We start from the raw sequence: 20,611 nt of genomic DNA, 5'->3' as shown, positions 1-20,611 counted from the left end.
TAAATATATATATGTATAAATATATATATAAATATATATGTAAATATATATAAATATATATATAAATATATATAAATATATAAAAATATATAAATATATATATAAATATATAAAAATATATAAATATATATATAAATATATATAAATATATAAATATATATATAAATATATATAAATATATAAAAATATATAAATATATATAAATATGTAAATATATATAAATATATATAAATATGTAAATATATATAAATATATATAAATATATAAATATATATAAATATATATAAATATATAAATATATAAATATATAAATATATATAAATATATAAATATATAAATATATATAAATATATATAAATATATATAAATATATAAATATATATAAATATATATAAATATATATAAATATATATAAATATATAAATATATATAAATATATATATAAATATATAAAAATATATATAAATATATATATAAATATATAAAAGTATATATAAAAATATATATAAATATATATATAAATATATAAAAGTATATATAAAAATATATAAAAATATATAAATATATATATAAATATATATATAAATAAATAAAGATAGGCAATAATGAATGCTGGTAAGGATATGGAGAAGAGGGAACCCTTGTATACTATTGGTGGGAACGTAAGTTAGTACAGCCACTCTGGAGAATAGTATGGAGGTTCTTCAAAAAACTAAAACTAACACTAACATAATTTAGCAGTCTCACTGTTGGGTATATATTCAAATGAAAGAAAGTTAGTGTATAGAAGAGATATGTGCACTGCCATGTTTATTGTAGTACTCTTCACAACAGCCAAGTTATGAAATCAACCTGAGTGTCCACCAATGTATGAACCGAATGAAAAAATGTGGTACATACATACAATGGAATATTATTCAACCACAAAAAAGCATGACATCCTGTCATTTCAAACAGCATAGACACAACTGGAGGACATGATGCCAACTAAAATAAGCCAGGCACAGAAAGACAAATATTGCATGTGCTCATACAAATGCGGGAGCTAAAAAAATTGATCTCATGGAGATACAGAGTAGAATAATGTTTACCAAATGCAAGGAAGGGGAGTTGAGAGCAAGGGGGAGTTAGAAGTAGGTAAATTCATAGGTACAAAAATACAATTAGATAAAAGACATAAGATCCAGTATTCACTAGCACAATAGGACAACTATAGTTAACAATAATGCATTGTATATTTCAAAATAACTAGAGTAGTAGTTTTGGAATGTTTGCAAAACAACAAAATGATAAATATTTAAAGTTAGGCTACTTCAATTACCTTGATTTGATCATTACACATTGTATGCTTTTATAAAAATGTCCCCATAAATATGTACAACTCTTCCATAACCATAAAAATTAAAAATAAAAAAAAAACTAGAGTGTGTGGTGTATGTGTATTCAATTAAATTGTTTTGATAGGTTTTATTGGTTCAATCAATAATTTATAAGGTGGATTTATTGTGTGCGATAAACAAGAAAATTCACAATCATATTTTTCACAAAAGACTCAGGAAGACAATCTAGTTTCTTTAATTTAAGAATTCTAAGAAAAAAGAGAGTAAAATATGAATGGAAAGTTCTTTACTCTTTATAGACTAAGGAACTCTAGCCATATTAACTAATTGCATTCTATAGTCCTCGTTTGGATTTCAGTTCAAGGAAACTTTATAAATATGTAAGATAACTGGGAAAATCTGAACAGCGATCAGATATTAATCATCTTAGGGAATCAATGTTAATGTTGAAGGATTGGGTGTAATTATATTTAGAGATACATACTGAAACATTTATGGATAAAATGTGTGATGTCTGGCCTTGGCTTTAAAACAATTCAGGAATGTGGAGAAAACAAGTGGGGATATAGATTAAACATGATTGGCTATGAGTTTTAATTATCGAATCTGGGGATGGGTACATGAGGAATCATGTTACTATTCTCTACTTTTGCATGTGTTTGTTACTTTGTACAATAAAAAACACTGAAAAACATTCTTGGGATGAAATTAATGTTTTAATTTACTGACAAAAATGACCAGGGAGACTGAATTGTTTTAATCGATTGTGTGATCTTTGAAATTCGATTCTCATGAAGCCATCACTGTTTAATCGCACTGCGCATCCAGATCATGTATTCGCAACAGTGCATCCCACTTTCAATCTATTTGTTATTCCGTTTATGTTGAAATGACAAGATTTATCCCACACCTTATGAGTTCACACATGGAGCATAAATGTATATTTATATGAGTTTTAAACTGCTATTTATTCTGCTGCTCACATTCAGATATTACCACCTGCACTGAAATTGGAATTTTGGAAAGCTCAGAAAAAGTCATTTCAATATGGATGGAAGTCAGCTTTGGGCAGCTCTGACACCTCTGAGGAATACTCTTAGTGCAAAAAGTGAAAATGAAACTGGAAAGCTTGATGACAAGGTGCAAAACACAAACCTCCCCTTGTGTTTTCTCATCATATTCAACTTCCTGATTAAAAATTTACCAAGCCCACCAGTTATGAATATCAAGCTCCATCAGAATGCATAAGATTAAAACATCAAGGTCTACAGATTTAAGAAACTGTCAGGCTAAGAAACTGGATTTTTAAAACACTGAATAACGTGTGAAATTTCCATCATTCTGTTCTCTTTCTTTCCCCCCTAATCTGACAGGAATTGCAAACAGGCCTGCAAGGTCTAAAGTTCCCTCAGGGAAATGCATTACAAAATAGAATGTAGAAAGCTTCCTAATAAAATCATTAAAAAATAAGTTGAGTTTACATGCAGCTGAAAACTGATACCTAGTGTTATTTGGTTGGTTTCTTTGTCCCTGTTCCATTCCCCGAGCGCCTGCCTCGGTTCTCTTTCTCAGGGACACACAAATAGAGTTAACTTAAACATCATCCACTAGGTATAGGAGCAAAATACCTTGCTAAAATGCAGTAGTACTAATCAATTACTCCATTACAAAACTAAAAAAGCAATGCCAGATAATGTGATAGAATCCTCTTTTCTTAGCACATAATTACCTACAGTACTAGATCATATTATCACTTTTCTAAAGCTCAGAAAATACCCTAGAAATATCTGGAAAATGTGTAGCACATCGCATACAAGACCACTAATCCCAAGACTCGTATTTTACTAAATTGAGTATACAACACGGTTAACACAGAATCCCTGCCCTCAGGTAGCTTTCAGATTAATGTGCCTTCAATTACAGAAGGCTATTAGTTTCTTCACTTTAATTACAACTGCATCAAAATCACGTAAATAAATTTCAACCTCTCAGATAATTTATGAACAATACAAAGCCAGGTGTACATTTCCCATTAAAAATTAATATTTGCTGTAATTAAAATGTGCCACATGCCATGTTCATTTCACAATGCTACGAAGAAAAAATAAAACAGCAAAGCATTTCTGTTCCCAGGTGGTAACTTGTTACAGTATCAGATTTAACTTCTAATTTGATTGCATTAGTGCAGAAAAGTTTAGCACCTAGTGTGGCTCAGTCACAGCAAAGCAGTGCATCCTGGCAGGCATGGGGGAGCTTATAACCTTGTTACCTTTATAATAATTCAGGTATGTAGAGATGGCATACCGATTTGAAAGGGATAAAGAAAACTCTCCCCACATAGAGAGGCTCCAAATGTCCAAATCATCCAACAAACAGTGTCAACCATGGATGAGACTTGATCAAGCTCTGTAATTCTAGCCAAGGTTCCTCTTCTATGTGTTTTAATTGTATGCACTTTAAAGAATTGCACTGTGTTGCTTCTCCTTGATGTTTTTTTGTTTGTTTGTTTGTTTTTTGTTTTTTGTTTTTTTCCGAGGTGGAGTCTCACTCTGTCACCCAGGCTGGAGTGCAGTGGCATGACCTCGGCTCACTGCAAGCTCTCCCTCCTGGGTTCACACCATTCTCCTGCCTCAGCCCCCCGAGTAGCTGGGACTACAGGCACCCGCCACCACGCCCGGCTAATTTTTTGTATTTTTAGTAGAGACTGGGTTTCACCGTGTTAGCCAGGATGGTCTCGATCTCCCGACCTAGTGATCTGTCTGCACTGGCCTCCCAAAGTGCTGGGATTACAGGCATGAGCCACCACGCCCAGCCCAGTGTATTCTTTCTTGTACTTCTTTTTTCTTCCTCTCTCCCTTTCTTTATTTCCTCAGTACTAATGTTTAAAAACATATGATCCAAGAAAGTAAAGTGTTGATTTCTTCTTACTAACCTGGGAAAGAAATTTGTGGCTGTGATCAGACTTGGAATCGATATGCCTGTGAACACAATCCCTGGTTAGCCATTCCCCGTCACCCACAGGAGACTTGGAAAGAAGCACTCACAGCCGTGCACCAGCCAAGCGAGGATCGTGGAAGCTTTGCAAATGGCTTTCAACAATAACTGATTTTCATAAGACACATGGATTTCCATTCAGAGACTGACTGTGGTTCACGCATTTGTTCACATGCTTGTTCCTTCCTCTCACTGTCACCCGTTTGCTGGTTCACACCTTTGAAAGCCACCAAAATGATGACATTAGGCACTAATTTGACGAAAGACAAGGGATGTTTGACCGAAGCTCCCAAATTCACTTTCTCTGTAAGGGGACAGAGAGAGGGAGAGGGCTGTCTCGATTAGAGAGATAACTGTCAGAACCCTCCATCTTTTTTCCTTTAATTTTAATTCAAAGAGATGGACTGACATAACTGGTTCCATGATATAATTGGTTGCATCTGATTTATTTGATTCATTTTTAATCTTATCACCTATTTTTTTTTCTTTTTGGGATTAGGCAAGACAAGATGTTAAAATCCTTTCTTCATACCTTTCTAATCCCAACCTGAGAGGTCTTAACAGTTGGGTGTGTCTGTTTGTAGGCTTTTTGTCTACTTTTTTTTTTTTTTTTTTTTTTTGAGACAGAGTCTCGCTGTATCGCCCAGGCTGGAGTGCGGTGGCGCGATCTCAGCTCACTGCAAGCTCGGCCTCCCGGTTTCACGCCTTTCTCCTGCCTCCCGAGTAGCTGGGACTACAGGCGTCCGAACCACACCAGGCTAACTTTTTTTTTTTTTTTTTGTACTTTTAGTAGAGACGGGGTTTCACCATGTTCGCCAGGATGGTCTGGATCTCCTGACCTCGTGATCCGCCAGACCTGGCCTCCCAAAGTGCTGGGATTACAGGCGTGAGCCACTGCGCCCTGCCTTGTCTACATTTTTAGGTATGTTATATAAGATATGAACACAGATTATTAATAAAGATACATATTCATTCTTTTTAAAGAGGAGATGAGATTAGGGCCTATAGACGTATACTGTCCAATATGGTAGCCACTACTCAATGGGGTTAAGTTTATATTAACTAAAATTATTTTAAAAGCCCCTCAGTTGCACTAATCACATTTCAAATGCTCAGTAGGCCCATACGGCTCATGGCTACTATATTGGAAAGCTCAGGTATAAAACACTCCCACCATTGCAGAAAGTTCAACTCAACAGTTGAACTAATTAACTAATAGTTATAATTAGTATTATAAAATTATAATACTAATCGTTTTAATGCTAATGCTAATTTACTGTCAAGAATACTCTATATATTCCTGACATATATAGCTCATACAATTAATTCCTATAGATGACTCTATATAGCTGACATGTAGATTGTTTGTAACAATCAGTAAATTATCATTAGCTGCTTCTTCCCTTAAATATAATTCTCTGAACATAGAGAAGTAAGACAATGACTATCAGAATTCATGCTTGGTAGCAGAGACAAAAGGTAATTGGGTTGTTGATATTTAATTTGCTTCTGGAACCTATTATTTAGAGTCCCAGTTTTAGAAATTGTGATCATAACCACAATTGCTCAATTTGTTATGCCTGTGTAGACTTGGCCAGTTAGAAATGTCCAGCCCTAATGGCTGCATTCTGATACTTTCCTGGAGGGGCACCATCTCACCTGGGAGGGAATAGAGTAGACATGCTCCATGAATTCCTCAAAAGCTTCCTTTCAAATGTAGACAAAACCAAACAGACAGAGAAACCTACTAATAACAGGCAATCTCAGTTACAGAGACACTGGAATTTTTCATTTGCCTTCCCAGAGTGCCGGTCTTTGTTCCGATAACTTGGTATTTTACAAAAAGTCCAATTCTTGGTAATTTAAAGCTAGGAAATTAATGGGAAATCAGAAAGCCAATGAGCATTTACAGGTAGAAAAAGCAAACTGTGATTACCTGGTCTCTGAGGAGCTAATTACAGGTTCAGTTGAAAACGGGAGGACCATGAGAACCATGTGCGTGTGCACACACACAAACACACTCCACACCCCCGCAACGCAAATGCACTCCATGCCCACACAAATACACACAGACAAACGCACCCTACATCCACACATATATACACACAAATGCACCCCATGCCCCCACAACACAAATGCACCAAACTCCCACACATACACATAGATACACACAAATGCACCCCACGCCCACACATACACACACACAGAAATGCACCCCACACCCACACATACACACACACAAATGCACCCCATGCCCACACATACACATACACATACACACACACACAAATAGACCCCACACCCACACATACACACACAAATGCACCCCATGCCCACACATGCACATACACACACACACACACAAATGCACCCCACACCCACACATACACACACAAATGCACCCTATGCCCCCCAACACAAATGCAACCAACTCCTACACATACACATAGACACACACAAATATACCCCACACCCACACATACACACACAATTGCACCCTATGCCCCCCAAGACAAATGCACCCAACTCCCACACATACACATAGATACACACAAATATACCCCACGCCCACACACACACACACAAATGCACCCCATATCCACACATACACATGCACAGAAATGCACCCCATACCCAAACACACAAATGCACCCCACACCCACACATACACTTACACACACACAAATGCACCCCATGCCCACACACACACACAAATGCACCCCACACCCACACATACACTCACACACAAATGCACCCCATGCCCACACACACACACACAAATGCACCCCACACCCATACACAAACACAAATGCACCCCACACCCCAATATACACATACACGCACAAATGCACCCCACGCCCACACATACATATACACACACAAATGCACCCCAAGCCCAATACAAATGCACCCCATGCCCACAAATACAATCACACACACACACACATATGCACCCCACACCCACACACACGCACACAAATGCACCCCACACCCAAATATATAGATACACACACACACACAAATGTACTCCAAGCCCACACTTACACACACACACAAATGCACCCCACGCCCACACAGACACACACACACAAATGCATCCCATGCCCACACATACACTCACATACACACAAATGCACCCCAGGCCCACACATACGCACACAAATGCACCCCACATCCCAACATATGCACACACACACAAATGCACTCCAAACCCACACATACACAATCACACACATACAAATGCATCCCACACCCACATATACACACACAAATGCACTCAAAGTCCACATACACACACACACACACAAATGCACCCCACACTCACACATACACATACACTCACAAATGCACCCCATACCCACCCATATACATACACACACAAATGCACCCCACACATACACATACACTCACAAATGCGCCCCATACCCACCCATATACATACAAACACAAACGCACCCCATACCCACACATACACATACAAATGCACCCCATGCCCACACATACATACACACACACACACACACGCACGTGCGCACACACAAAACCCTTCCAGCCTGTGCCCACCTCCAAAGAAGCAGACAGCTGCATTGCTGCATAAATAAATTATTTGGATAGCTCACTGTTTGAGCACAATCGATCCTTCCTCTGTACTAGGGTCAGGCACTGTATATCCATAGCCTGGCCTGACCTGCAGTTGTATATAAAATATGATATTAAAAAAACTCCCCACTAGCCCACTTCTACTTGGGAGGCTCACAGTCCATCAATCATTCATTCCTCTTTGCCCACACCGGAACCACCAACAGACCACAAACTTGGGGGAAGTTAACAGCATTGAAAGGAAGACTGTTCCTCAGGAAAGCCACAGTTCCTGTCACAGAAATCATACAGCACCTCATAGTTTTCCTAGAGCATACTTAGCAGGAATTTACTGGAATGGCAGAAAGAGCCGAAGGGAGTCTTTCCGTTTCAATTATTTTGAGGATCTTATATAGCTATTCTACACAATGCCCAGAGTAGGAGATAACCTCTTCCGGCCCCTTCAAAGAACACCAAAGGTCTAATGGGGAGAAGGGAAAAGACACAGCCTGACAGTAATGCATCTTCTGCCCCATCAGGAACTCTCAGTCTTGGTACAATTGCCACTTTAGGCTGGGTAACTTATTGTCATAGGGGGCTGTCCTGTGCATTGTGAGATGTTAAACAGCATCCCTGGCCTCCACCCGCTAGACGCCAGTAGCATTATAGTGCCTTGCTCCACTAATTATGACAATCAAAAATGCCTCCTGACATTGCCAAATGTCTCCTGAGGAGCAAAATTGTCCACAGTTGAGAACTGCTGAGTTAGGCATCAGAAAGCTCTCTATACTATCTGCATCATATCTGAGAAGACACCAAGGTAGACTTGAGCAGAAGTGTGTTGGCTTCAGCTTGCTAGGGTTTGCTAGGACTGCTGACTTAGGCATCAGAAAGTCTCTCTGCTATCTGGATCATATCTAAGAAGACACCAATGCAGACAGGAGCAGAAGTGTATTAGCTTGCCAGGGCTGCTGACTTAGGCGTCAGAAAGATCTGTGTACTATCTGCATCATATCTAAGAAGATACCAACATAGACTTGAGCAGAAGTGTGTCAGCTTGCCAGGGCTGCCGTAACAAAGCACCGTAGACTGTGTGGCTTAAACAACAGAAATTTATTTTCTCACAATTCTGGAGGGTAGAAGTTCAAGACTAAGGTGTTTGCAGTGTTGGTTTCTTCTGAAGCCTCTTTCCTTGGCTTGCAGACGACCATCTTCCCCCTCTGTGTTGTTTATATGGTATTCTCTCTGTGTGTCTGGGTTCTGATTTTTTCTTCTTATAAGGACACCAAACACACTGGATTCGGGCCCAACCTAATAACCTCATGAAACCCGAATTAACTTCCTAAGGATCCTGTCTCCAAACAGACTCACATTCTGAGGTCCTGTGGGTGAGAATTTGAGCATTTGAATCGGGGGTAGTGGAGACACAATTCGGCCTCCAAATAAGAGGTAATTCTCAGACCCAAGCACATCATTTTGTGTCACTGACAACTGTGTTGCATTATCCATGGGAGACTTCAGCCCTACTATTTAGAAATGGGCTCTCTCCATTGCTCATTTCCTCCCTGTCATATAAAGAGTAACTTCCTTAACTTCCCAACTGGGGAGACAAGAAGAATGAATCCAGCAGGTACAGCTCAGCCTATGCCACTTCCTCTCATCTGCATCTGCCTCCCAGGCAGACGGAGAACTTTGTGGACTCTTCTCTCCTCCCAGGAAGGCTCTGCAGCCTCTGAGTAGAGATTGATTTCTTTTCTCACATTAAAAAAAAAAATTGAACAGGGAACACCTTGAAATTGTGAGATTCCCTAGGTTGACGAACATCTTCCGTAAAGGGGCAGAAAGAAAATATTTTCGACTTGCAGGGCTATCCTAATATTGAGCTCTGCCGTGGTACCCAAAAGCTGCCGCAGAAATATATGCTTGCATAGGTGCAGCTGGGTATACATAATACAACTTTATTACAGAAATAATAATAATCCAAGTGGAGTAAATGTGGCCCACAGGCTGCAGTTTTCCAACCCCTGCCCTGTTGCATTAAATACATTATTTGATTTGTACAGTTTCAATTGCTACTGGATTTGGTCAAGTTTAAGTAAAATGAGGAGCCTGTGGAGATGTGGTAAGTACTTTCCTATGATGATAACCCAAAAAATTCTGTAGTTCTCACCCATGACTGCTAATGGATATATACAAGAATATTTACAATAACAGACACTTGAAAGGGTATACTAAGCTGCCTTTCTGCTTAATACAAGTTCCTTGTTTTTCTTTCCTTTCTGCTGACCACTTTGCCTCCAGCTCTGATTTCTAATTTCTTTCCTCATTAAAAGTCCTGTCAACCATCCTGAGAATAGAGGTGTTCCTTTAAAAATAGCCATCTCATAAAGGACCTGTAGCCTGCAGGCATAAGGCACATAGATAGGAACAGTTCACGAAATCCCCCTCTAAACAACAGACTTATGAGAAATAAATCTGAACTTTGATTTCAAATCGCTCCAAACAAATCATCTTCAAACTCGTGGTGAGTTGTCCTCAGAATGTGTTTTGTGGCATCATTGCTGCAAAAAAAACCCTGACTTTTCTAGAGGTAAGTTTAGAACACATCTCATGCCTTTGTTAGATTTGTACCCAAATTATCAGCCAAGATCAAGCCACAGAAGCTTATCCTACATCAGCAGGGAACATTAGCAGAGAGGGATATGGAAGATACACTCGTATTATACATTAGAGCCAACAGTCATCATTTGGAGATGCCATAGAGAAGTCTTGCTTATGCGCAATGAAGCTGTTTCAGCATTGTCACGAATAGGCAAAAACAGGAAACAGCCTGATGTTTATTAAAAGGCGGGTGATAAACCATTAAGGATATACATACAAACTACAGAATGCTGCACTGTTGCTAAAAAGAATGTTGCAGTGGAGATGTAGCTCATGGAAAATATTCCTGATGTACTGCTGTATTCTTAGTCTGTTTTCATGCTGCTGATAAAGACATACTCAAGCCTAGGCAACTTACGGGAGAAAGACCTTTAATAGACTTACAGTTCCACATGGCTATGGAGGCCACACAGTCATGGTGGAAGGCAAGGAGGAGCAAGTCTCATCTTACATCGATGGCAGCAGGCAAAGAAAGAACTTGTGCAGGGAAATTCCCCTTTATAAAACCATCGGATCTCATGAGGCTTATGCACTATCATGAGAACAGCGTGGGAATGACCTGCCTCCATTATTCAATTAACTCCCACCCAGTCCCTCACACAACACGTGGGAATTCAAGATGAGATTTGGGTGGGGACACAGCCAAACAATATCAACTGTTAAACAGAAAAAGAAGTAATATTGGCTGGGCGCAGTGGCTCACGCCAGTAACCTCAACACTTTGGGAGCCCGAGGCAGGCAGATCACGAGGTCAGGAGTTTGAGACCAGCCTGGCCAACATGGTGAAACCCCATCTCTCCTAAAAATACAAAAATTAGCCGAGCATGACGGTGGGTGCCTATAGTCCCAGCTACTCGGGAGGCTGAGGCAGAAGAATCGCTTGAAACCTGCAGACAGAGGTTGCAGTGAGCTGAGTTCGCCCCATTGCACTCCAACCTGGCGACAAAGCAAGTCTCAAAAAAAAAAAAAGAAAAATAATATCATCATAATATCATATATACATATATATATATAGGTACATATATATTTTACATATATATGCCTGTACATACGCATACTAATGAATATATACAGGTAGGCGATATTTAAACCAAATCATATATGTTTGTAGATGTGTATTTATTGATCCATCTTTTTCTCTCATACATACCCACTATCTCTAAATATTTTTGTCAATGTATAGAAAATAGATACTATTCATAGTAGTTTTCTCTGGGAAGGGAAGTACATTTAGAAGGCTTGTGTGGGCTGGGGGGGAATTTTCCCTCTCTCTCTGCACTCTTATATGTTTGATTTGCTTGGAGCAATTATATTTGTATTTTCAAAGAATAAGAAAACTACACCATCTACCCTAGAAGAAAAAAAATTTTTGAAATACTTTTTAATAAGACTCTTTATTGTCATATAAATTACAAACATTTATTGTTTAAAAAAGCAAAAACAGGAAAAAAAAGTATATGGAGTAAAAAGTGAGGTCCTTGTTTCTTTTGTTTTCGGTCTTGTTTTGTTTTTTGAGATGGAGTCTAGCTCTATTGCCCAGGCTGAAGTGCAGTGTTACAATCTCTGCTCACTGCAACCTCTGCCTCGGGGGCCAAGCAAATCCACCTTTATCAGTGGATTCATATTTCCAGCTAAATAACTAAGGGAGAAAATTCACTAGCTCCTTCACAATGTGATTTTCCACTTCTGTACTCCCAGTTTTGTCCAGTTTTCTCCATAATTTCTTCTTCTTCTTCTTCTTCTTCTTCTTCTTCTTCTTCTTATTATTATTATTATTATTATTATTATTATTATTGAGATAGAGTCCTTACTCTGTTGCCCAGGCTGGAGTGCAATGGCGCGATCTCGGCTCACTGCAACCTCCACCTCCCGGGTTCAAGCGATTCTCCTGCCTGAGCCTCCTGAGTAGCTGGGATTACAGGCACCCGTCACCATGCCTGGCTAATTTTTGTATTTTTAGTAGAGATGGGGTTTCACCATATTGGCCAGGCTGCTCTCGAACTCCTGATCTCGTGATCTGCCCACCTTGGCCTCCCAAAGTGTTGGGATTACAGGCATAAGCCACCACACCTAGCCTCTCCATAATTTCTTAGGGATGAGTTCTTTGGGATTTGAAAGATTTATACTGTCACAAATGCTATATTTGACATTATTGTATTCATCAGAATTTTTTTGGGGGTGAGGTTTTAAATTAAAACACTGGCTCAAATTGGCTTAAGCAAAAAAAGAAATGTATTCGTTCACATAAGTGAAAAACCTCAGGATAATTATAGATTGCAGCAGGGCTACATTCAGAGAATTGGAACTCAGTCCTAGCCCTGTGGTCTTTCTAGGAGGTTGGCCACATTCTCAGGGGGGCAGAGAAATGGCCATCAATTTCAGGCTCAATGTGTTCAGTCTCTAACAGCTTTAACAAGTGTTCTGAGACTGAGTCTCCTTGGAGAGACTTGAGCCACTTGGTCATCTAGGAGCCAGTCCCTGTGGCTGGGAATTGGAGTTATGCCAGCTGGCTAGGTTTAGGTTCCATACCCAACTCTAGAGCTCGGTAAGGAGCCAGCTCTCTGGAAGTATGGAGGAAAAATGCAAGAGAGGTGGTCCCCTAAGAAAAATGCAATTATAGGACCACAGGATGAGGAAATGGATACTGAATAGATGAAAACAATGATTATTTTGTGAAAAAGACCTCGCCATGACCAGAAATGACCTGGAATTGAGCTGGAAGGTTGTTCCTTCAGCCTTCAGCCTCCCCCGACTTACCAAGGGCTAGTACCACGGGCTGCATTCAGAGCTTCATGCCAGGTCAAGTGTCCTCAGACTGAGTATCTTTTTACTTGCTGTTCCATCAGCTTAGAACATGCTTCCCCAGATCCCCTCCCATCCTTTAGGTCTCGCCTGAAACTTCACCAAAGTCACTAACGGAAGCCCATATGAAGACCATCACTGGTGTAAATTCCAGTTGTGAATTTCAGTGAATTCACTGGCATAACATTCAGAAGAGGCTCTAGAGTTGTGTTGTCCAAGATGACAGCTGTTGGCCACATGTGGCTAATTAGATAGAATTTAAAATTCAGCTCCTTGGTAGCACTAGCTTGACTGTGAGTGCTCACAAGTCCCATGTGACTAGTAGGTACCTCATTAGACACTGATGATAAAGAACATGGGTGTCATTGCAGAAAGTTCTATTGGACAGTGCTATTCCGGAATATTTTCTCATTCCCCTCTCCCCCTCAAAGATTTAAAAATGAAGAAGGGCATGTGACTGTACTAGAAAAGGCCAAGTGACCTTTGAAAGGCCTCCCAGGCTACAGGGACAATAATAATATTTACAATGAAAAAACAGACAAATGCTCAAGTAGGAAAAGTTATGTCTTTTCCACTCTGAACATTAAAAAACTAAATAAAAAAGGAAAAATTCTTTACTTTTTCTGTTGGAAAGAGATAAAGAGCTGTATAAAAACAATGACAAGGAGAGGAAAGTGAAATCAAATTCTGGTTGGACTGAAGGGCTCTTATTCATGTCTTTTTTTTTCTCCATATCTAAAATTTTGCTTTTTTTTCTTTTTAAATATTTTTTGAAAAATTTCAATAGCTTTAGGGTTACAGGTTAGTTTTGGTTACATGGATGAATTGCATAGTGTTGAAATCTAGGATTTTAGTGCACCTGCCACCCGAGTAGTGTACGTTGTACTAAATAGGTAGTTTTTTGCTCCTCATCCCCCTTCTACCCTCCCATCTTCTGAGTCTCCAATGTCCATCATACTGTATACCTTTGCATCCTCATACCTTAGTTCCCACTTACAAGTGAAGAAATGCAGTATTTGCTTTTTGATTTCAGAGTTACTTCACTTAGAAGAAACCTCCAGTTTCATCCAAGTTGCTGCAAAAGACATTATTTCATTCTTTTTTATGGCTGAGTAGTATTTCAAGGTGAATATACCATATTTTCCTTATCTACTTATTGGTTGCTGGGCACTAAGGCTGATTCTGTATCTTTGCAATTGTGAATTGTGTTATGATAAATATATGCAAGCAGGCATCTTTCCTCTGGGTAGAGACCCAGTATTGGGTAGAGTGATTGCTGTACCGAATGGTAGACCTACTTTTACTTCTTTGAAAAATCTCTGTACTGTTTTCCATAGAGGTTGTACTCATTTACATTCCCACCAGCATTCTTTTTTTCTTAAACTTTAAGTTGAGGTGTACATGTGCAGGTTTGTTATATAAACTTGAGTTATAGGGGTATGTTCCACAGATTATTTCATTGCCCAGGTATTCAGTCTAATACTCAACAGTTATTTTTCCTGATCCTCTCAGCAATAATAAGAGATAAGTTACACACGGACTTTCCAACAAGCCGTATTTGCTATTATTTCCAGTGGTAGACAGAATGGATTTTGTTGAGTACAAAGTAAACTTGAGCTATATATTGTGTTTGCAATCAAACCCAGATCTTGGCCTGCAGGAGCCTGTGTGTTCTGGCCTCATTCTGTTCCTCCAGCCTTTAGTCCACCCCCTCCCTTACCACGTGCTGCATTCAGAGCCTCATGCAAGGTAAACTGTTCACAGATTCCCTGTCGTTTTACTTGCTGTTCCATCAGCCTAGAGCACGCTTCCCCAGATTCCCTCGCATTCTTTAGGACTTTAGATTTCTGCTTAAATTTCATGTCACCATGAATTTTTTTTTTTCTGAAAACCTTAGCCAACACACACATTATGATTCTCCATTACAATATCCCATTAATTTACTCTTTTCTTTTTTATTTCTTTCTTTTTCTGAAACAGTCTTGCTCTGTCATCCAGGTTGGAGTGCAGTGGCACAATCTCGGCTCACTGCAACCTTCACCTTCTGGGTTCAAGAGATTCTCCTGCCTCAGCTTCCCGAGTAGCTAGGATTACAGGCACCCGTCACCATGCCTAGCTAATTTTTATATTTTTGGTAGAGACAGGGTTTCACCATGTTGGCCAGGTTGGTCTCGTACACCTGACCTCAAGTGACCTACCCGCCTCAGCCTCCAAAAGTGCTGGGATTACAGGCGTGAGCCACTGCACCCAGCCCATGCATTTACTCTTAATAATTATCATCTCTAATTGTTTTGTTTACTCTTTTTTCTCCCTAGTATATCCAAGTAGAATGTAAGTCCCATGGGGACAGAAACCATGTCCTTATTTCCTGTTGTTGCTCCAACATTGAGTGGACATTCAATAAGCATCCGTGGGATGAATGAATGGACAGAGACAGGTGGAGAGAAGACAAAGAGTTGTGCTCATCAAGCTAACCTGCATTACCTGCTGGTAACAGAACTAAGAATGGGCTACCAGACACTGCTTGGCCCGACTACCATAAGGACTGAAAATATTTCAGGTTTTCCCTTTAAAAGGGTGGGCCATTTTCAAAATTGCTGAGCTTGATCATTTGTGCACAGATTGAGCAAAGTGAGGTGAACTTCAGTGCTTTCAAGTCCAGCCAATTTGCATGCCAGCTGCTGTCATAAAACTGAGATGAAGTTCAGATGCTCAAGTGGGAGATATTGAGGGCACCTAGAGCTTAAGGGGACTAGGGAATGCCCATCTTTCCCTCTCCATACGCAAAGACTGGGAGGCACAGAAAATGCACATACCTTTAAGATCACGTTATGAGTGATTAATAAGGTCACCCAAGTACAGTTTATCATCCTTCACAGCATGCAGACAGCATTAACATCCTGCTACCTCATTCCCTGATGGCCACTGTAAAGAAACTTGCAGATTCAACTTTCTCCAGGACTCATTAATATTGGGAACCATAGGACATATACAAACGCTAAGCACAGGTTCCTGAACATAAGCAAGCACTTCAATATGCAAATGAAATAGAGGAATTACAGAAGATCTTCAAAAGTTACAACAAAAGACCATTTGCTATTCCCACACGTTTCAGTGTGAACACATTTAAACATTTAATGTTTGTGTGGAATCCGTCCAGTGGTTTTGGAATGATAAACGTGCTATCAGGCTAAAAGGGGCAAACATTCTAATAAAAACGTAAATCCTAAAACAGACCCGATACTTTGCTGGGAGGTAGAACAGAGAATGAAATACGTAATTGGTGAGACACTGGAAAGGCAAGTGGTTGTTGATGATTAATGGTCAATGATAGCTTATTAAGAAATAACCCCAAGCAAAACTCATTTTCTCTGTTGCTATAACCCAAGTCAACCAGGTTGGAGGAGAGGTCAGAAATCACACATCTGCCATTACGCTTGTGAAATATCCATGAATAAGACAGGTGTACAGGCCCATGAAGATACAGTTTGCTGGTTGAATGGTTGTGCCAAACAATACTGATGGAATGGATGGCTCTCCAACAGGAAAGTAATCACTGGTGATGGGCTTACAAGTGTCTAGCCTGACCCTATACTGGTAAATGGTTTTTCCAATGACTTTGCTTCTCACTAACAGGAGGAAATTGTGATAAACCATTTATTGATTAATTCATTCCTTCAACAAATAATTATTGAACATCTTCCACTTGATAAACATTGAGCTGAAGGCATTAGGTTAGCAAAGATAAATTGGGCAGTTTCTGCCCTGAAAAAACTCATTTTAGAGGTGGAGGAGACAGTGGTCTGACATTTACATAAGTTCTCGTAATACAGTCCTGATATATTGTAGGACCTTAATAATAAACAGCCATGAATGAACGTCACATTCTCTATCTTGCATGTTCCTATTTGCACTGGGCAAATTTCTTTGCTGTATTCCTCTATCTTCATTTGGGGAACTCCTACTTGTTCTTCAGGTTTCAGCTCAGATGCTACCTTTCTCTGAAATTCTCTTTGTACCCACTTACTCCCACCCAAGGCAAGGAGAGGTACCTCCTTTGAGAGCCACTATGACTCTGGTAACACCTGGTTTTTATTTTGCAATTGCCTGTTTCCTTGCCTGTCTTCCTGACTACCCCCTATCCCCTTGGGGTAAGGCTCTTTACCTTACTATTTTTCTATCTCTAGAACTCAACCTATTCTTTAGCAAATCACTGGGGCCCAAAACAAATAACCAAATGCCAAGTTTAATGGAGTTCTTCTACCAGGACTAAATTTTGATAAAATGACTTTTGCTGTTCCTTTCATATCTAAGATTCTTGAGGAGAATTAAATATAGTAGTCTAGAGTTTCAACCTTTGAACATAACGACCGTGGGCGTATACCTTGTAAAGGGGTAACACTGGTGAGCCATAAACTAATCCAAAAATTCACACCTTTTCTTTTGTTCTTACAGGTAGGTAATCCATAATTTCATTGTCGGTGGTGGTATGTTCAATTAAGTACTGTTTGCTAATATTTACCTTCTAAGTGCACTAGTAAGGGTTGCTAAAAATTACTTTGAAAAAGCCAACATTGACATATTACTAGTTTACTGAAGACCAAAAGTCAGTATTTTCACTAGAAGTCTGCACTCTAGACACTACATATATAACCTATCACTCTCTACATAATAGATTATTTGCAATTATTTAGTTATTTTATCTAATTCTAATTATAACCCTATGGAATTTTTATGTTACTGTTACTACATTTTACAGAGGAGAAGACAGAGGTAGCAGAAAACTAAGCTAATTTCCCAAGGTAACTCAACTAGCAGAAGATAGAACCACATGTGGAGATCAGGCTCCAGAGAAATCCTTTTAACATCTACACTATATTTCATCTTAGCACCTGTAGAGTTGTCGAGCTTGAGCGGCACGTGAGAAGGCAGGCATAAGTGGGCTGTGGTTGAACAAAAAATGTCAGAGATAAATGATCATCAGTCTAGAGGTGAAGACAATGTGGGATTAGAGTGAGGAAGAAGGTACCTGCTTGGAATGAGAGATGTAGTTGCTTTGAGTGACTGGAGTCTGGATGGCGTAGTAGCAACAAGGAGAGAGAGGGCCAGGCGTGGTGGCTCATGCCTGTAATCCCAGCACTTTAGGGGGCCGAGGCAGGTGGATCACAAGGTCAGGAATTCAAGACCAGCCTGGCCAAGTTCGTGAAACCTCGTCTCTACTAAAAATACAAATATTAGCCAGGCATGGTGGCGAGCACCTGTAATCCCAGCCACTTGGGAGGCTGAGGCAGAGAACTGCTTGAATCTGGGAGGCAGAGGTTACAGTGAACCGAGATCGCACCACTGCACTCCAGCCTGGGTGACAGAGCAAGACTCTGTCTCAAAAAAAAAAAAAAAAAAAAAAAAAGGAGATTGGGAGAAAGGAAAACTATTACCTGGAGTGTATGTTTAAAAACTAAAAACTAACAGGAAAACTGTTACCTTGAGTTTATGCTTAAAAACTGAAAACTAACAACATAAGAGATGCAAAGACTAAATGTATGTCTGGTATAGAATATTTTCTTAAACATATACAAGTGACATTTTCAGACAAAAGGCTTCAACCAAATATCCAAGTGTCAGTTCTCTGAATCACTTAGCCCTTCGGACGGATTAAATTGATTACTTTTTCCCCCAATTACCTGGGCTTCAAATTTATTGCTCATTTGCCTCCTTTAGTTCTAAAATAAAGTACAGATTCACATTTACAATTTGATCAAAGTCATCATGATGAAAATTTCTAAGGCATTGTCAGTCGTGATTGTGCTAATTTTTAATGATAGCCCCCTACTAATCAATAGGTAATTTAATTCAAAAATGTGAAGCTATAAACTTTAATGTTCTGTTTGGTATTTTCTTATTAATTGGAAAGATGGCTCAGTCAACTTTTAGGGAGAGAGCTAAGAAGATCTCTCCATTACAGTCCGATCCTGATGGGTGGCATTGACCAGACGCAGTGCTAGGAAGATCTATCCATTAGAGTCCAATTCTGGTGGGTGGCATTGACCAGAGGCAGCGCCACTCCCTGGGGCCACACACTGTTGGTGTTGGTTCTAGTTGGAATCTCTGATCCTACTCTGTGTGAAATACGTGACTGCTCATCTCTGCATCTTGCACCAAGGCTGTGCCTTGCCCTAATCTTCCCTCCTACACTTATTTTTATAACCTAAATACAAACCTTGCAGAGAAAGGGAAAGATTGGATCTCTCTGCTCCAGTATATGCTTTTATTTGTCTCACCCAATTCAGTCTAGTACTTCAAGTCAGTCTACCAACGCAAAACAAGATCAAATGCTAAACTGTCGAGAAGACTAACAATTCCTTCCAAAAGCATTTACTGTTTATCTTTTCACATACCACTCAGTCCGCTGTGATTGCTGGTATCCTTGGTATTTTATCTTATTTTTTCTTAATAATACATGCCTTTCTTAAACATTAAAGTATCACTTCTTGTAAGAGCAAGAGTTAAAAGATAGTTAAGATGTTGAAGAATTCCATTTGCTTTAAAAACAAAAGACTGAAACCATCTTGATTCCCCTTCCACCTTCATAGATAACAGAAACATAGGTGCCAATGCTCTCCTCAATCCTTTAAAGCAATTGCCTTTTTAAACCATTTGCAATTTGTTTCCTGCTTAAAGACATGAGGAATTCATTACAAACTATTTAGAGAATAAATATCCAAGGAGTCAAACATAGCGATGCTTATCTTTGTGTACGTACATTTTTTTTTCTTAAGAAAACATATTTCTACCTTCCTTTTATCTTTTAATGAAAACAAGATCACACTGAGTTTGGACTCCCCGAGCCATATGCTCACCTTTTGCTGTGCCATTGACGATTCTTCCACCATTTCACTATTAATGCCCTTGAAGGCTACATATTCAGAGACTCCACAAGGGCTGATACAAAATATCCTCTCAACTAATATTTGATAAATGATTAATAAACTAATGAGAATTCCACTGTAGCCTTATACCATACTTGATTTCATCAGTTCGCTGTTATAGGCCATTTGGGTAATTTTCCACTGTCTTGCTATTATAAACAATCTAGTAATAAACATCCTCATAGCCACATCTTGGCACACATTCCTTATTATTTCTTTAGCATGAATTCTTCAGCATACATGTAGTCAATGAAAGCTAATGCACTGTTATTCTATTAAAGGCTATTATTAAAGTTGAAATTTAAGAAA

At 39.1% G+C, this 20,611-nt stretch overlaps 1 protein-coding gene across 29 annotated transcripts in view; it reads right to left on the bottom strand.

Annotated features, from left to right (window-relative positions):
- Positions 1 to 20,611, bottom strand: part of RBFOX1 (RNA binding fox-1 homolog 1) — a 2,473,620-nt gene that overhangs the window by 933,057 nt on the left and 1,519,952 nt on the right. The window contains exon 1 of one of the 29 annotated variants that reach the window (NM_001142334.2): positions 6,271 to 6,475. The exons of the other annotated variants lie outside the window; for them this stretch is intronic. The gene's annotated coding sequence lies outside the window, so the exon portion shown is untranslated. Of the gene's footprint in view, positions 1 to 6,270; positions 6,476 to 20,611 lie in introns of those variants that run through there. 29 annotated transcript variants of the gene reach the window in all.

Source organism: Homo sapiens, chromosome 16 (genome assembly GCF_000001405.40).
Source record: "Homo sapiens chromosome 16, GRCh38.p14 Primary Assembly".
NCBI lineage: Eukaryota > Metazoa > Chordata > Mammalia > Primates > Hominidae > Homo > Homo sapiens.
The sequence above is the reverse complement of the archived record's forward strand: the minus strand, read 5'-3'. Positions and strand labels throughout refer to the sequence as shown.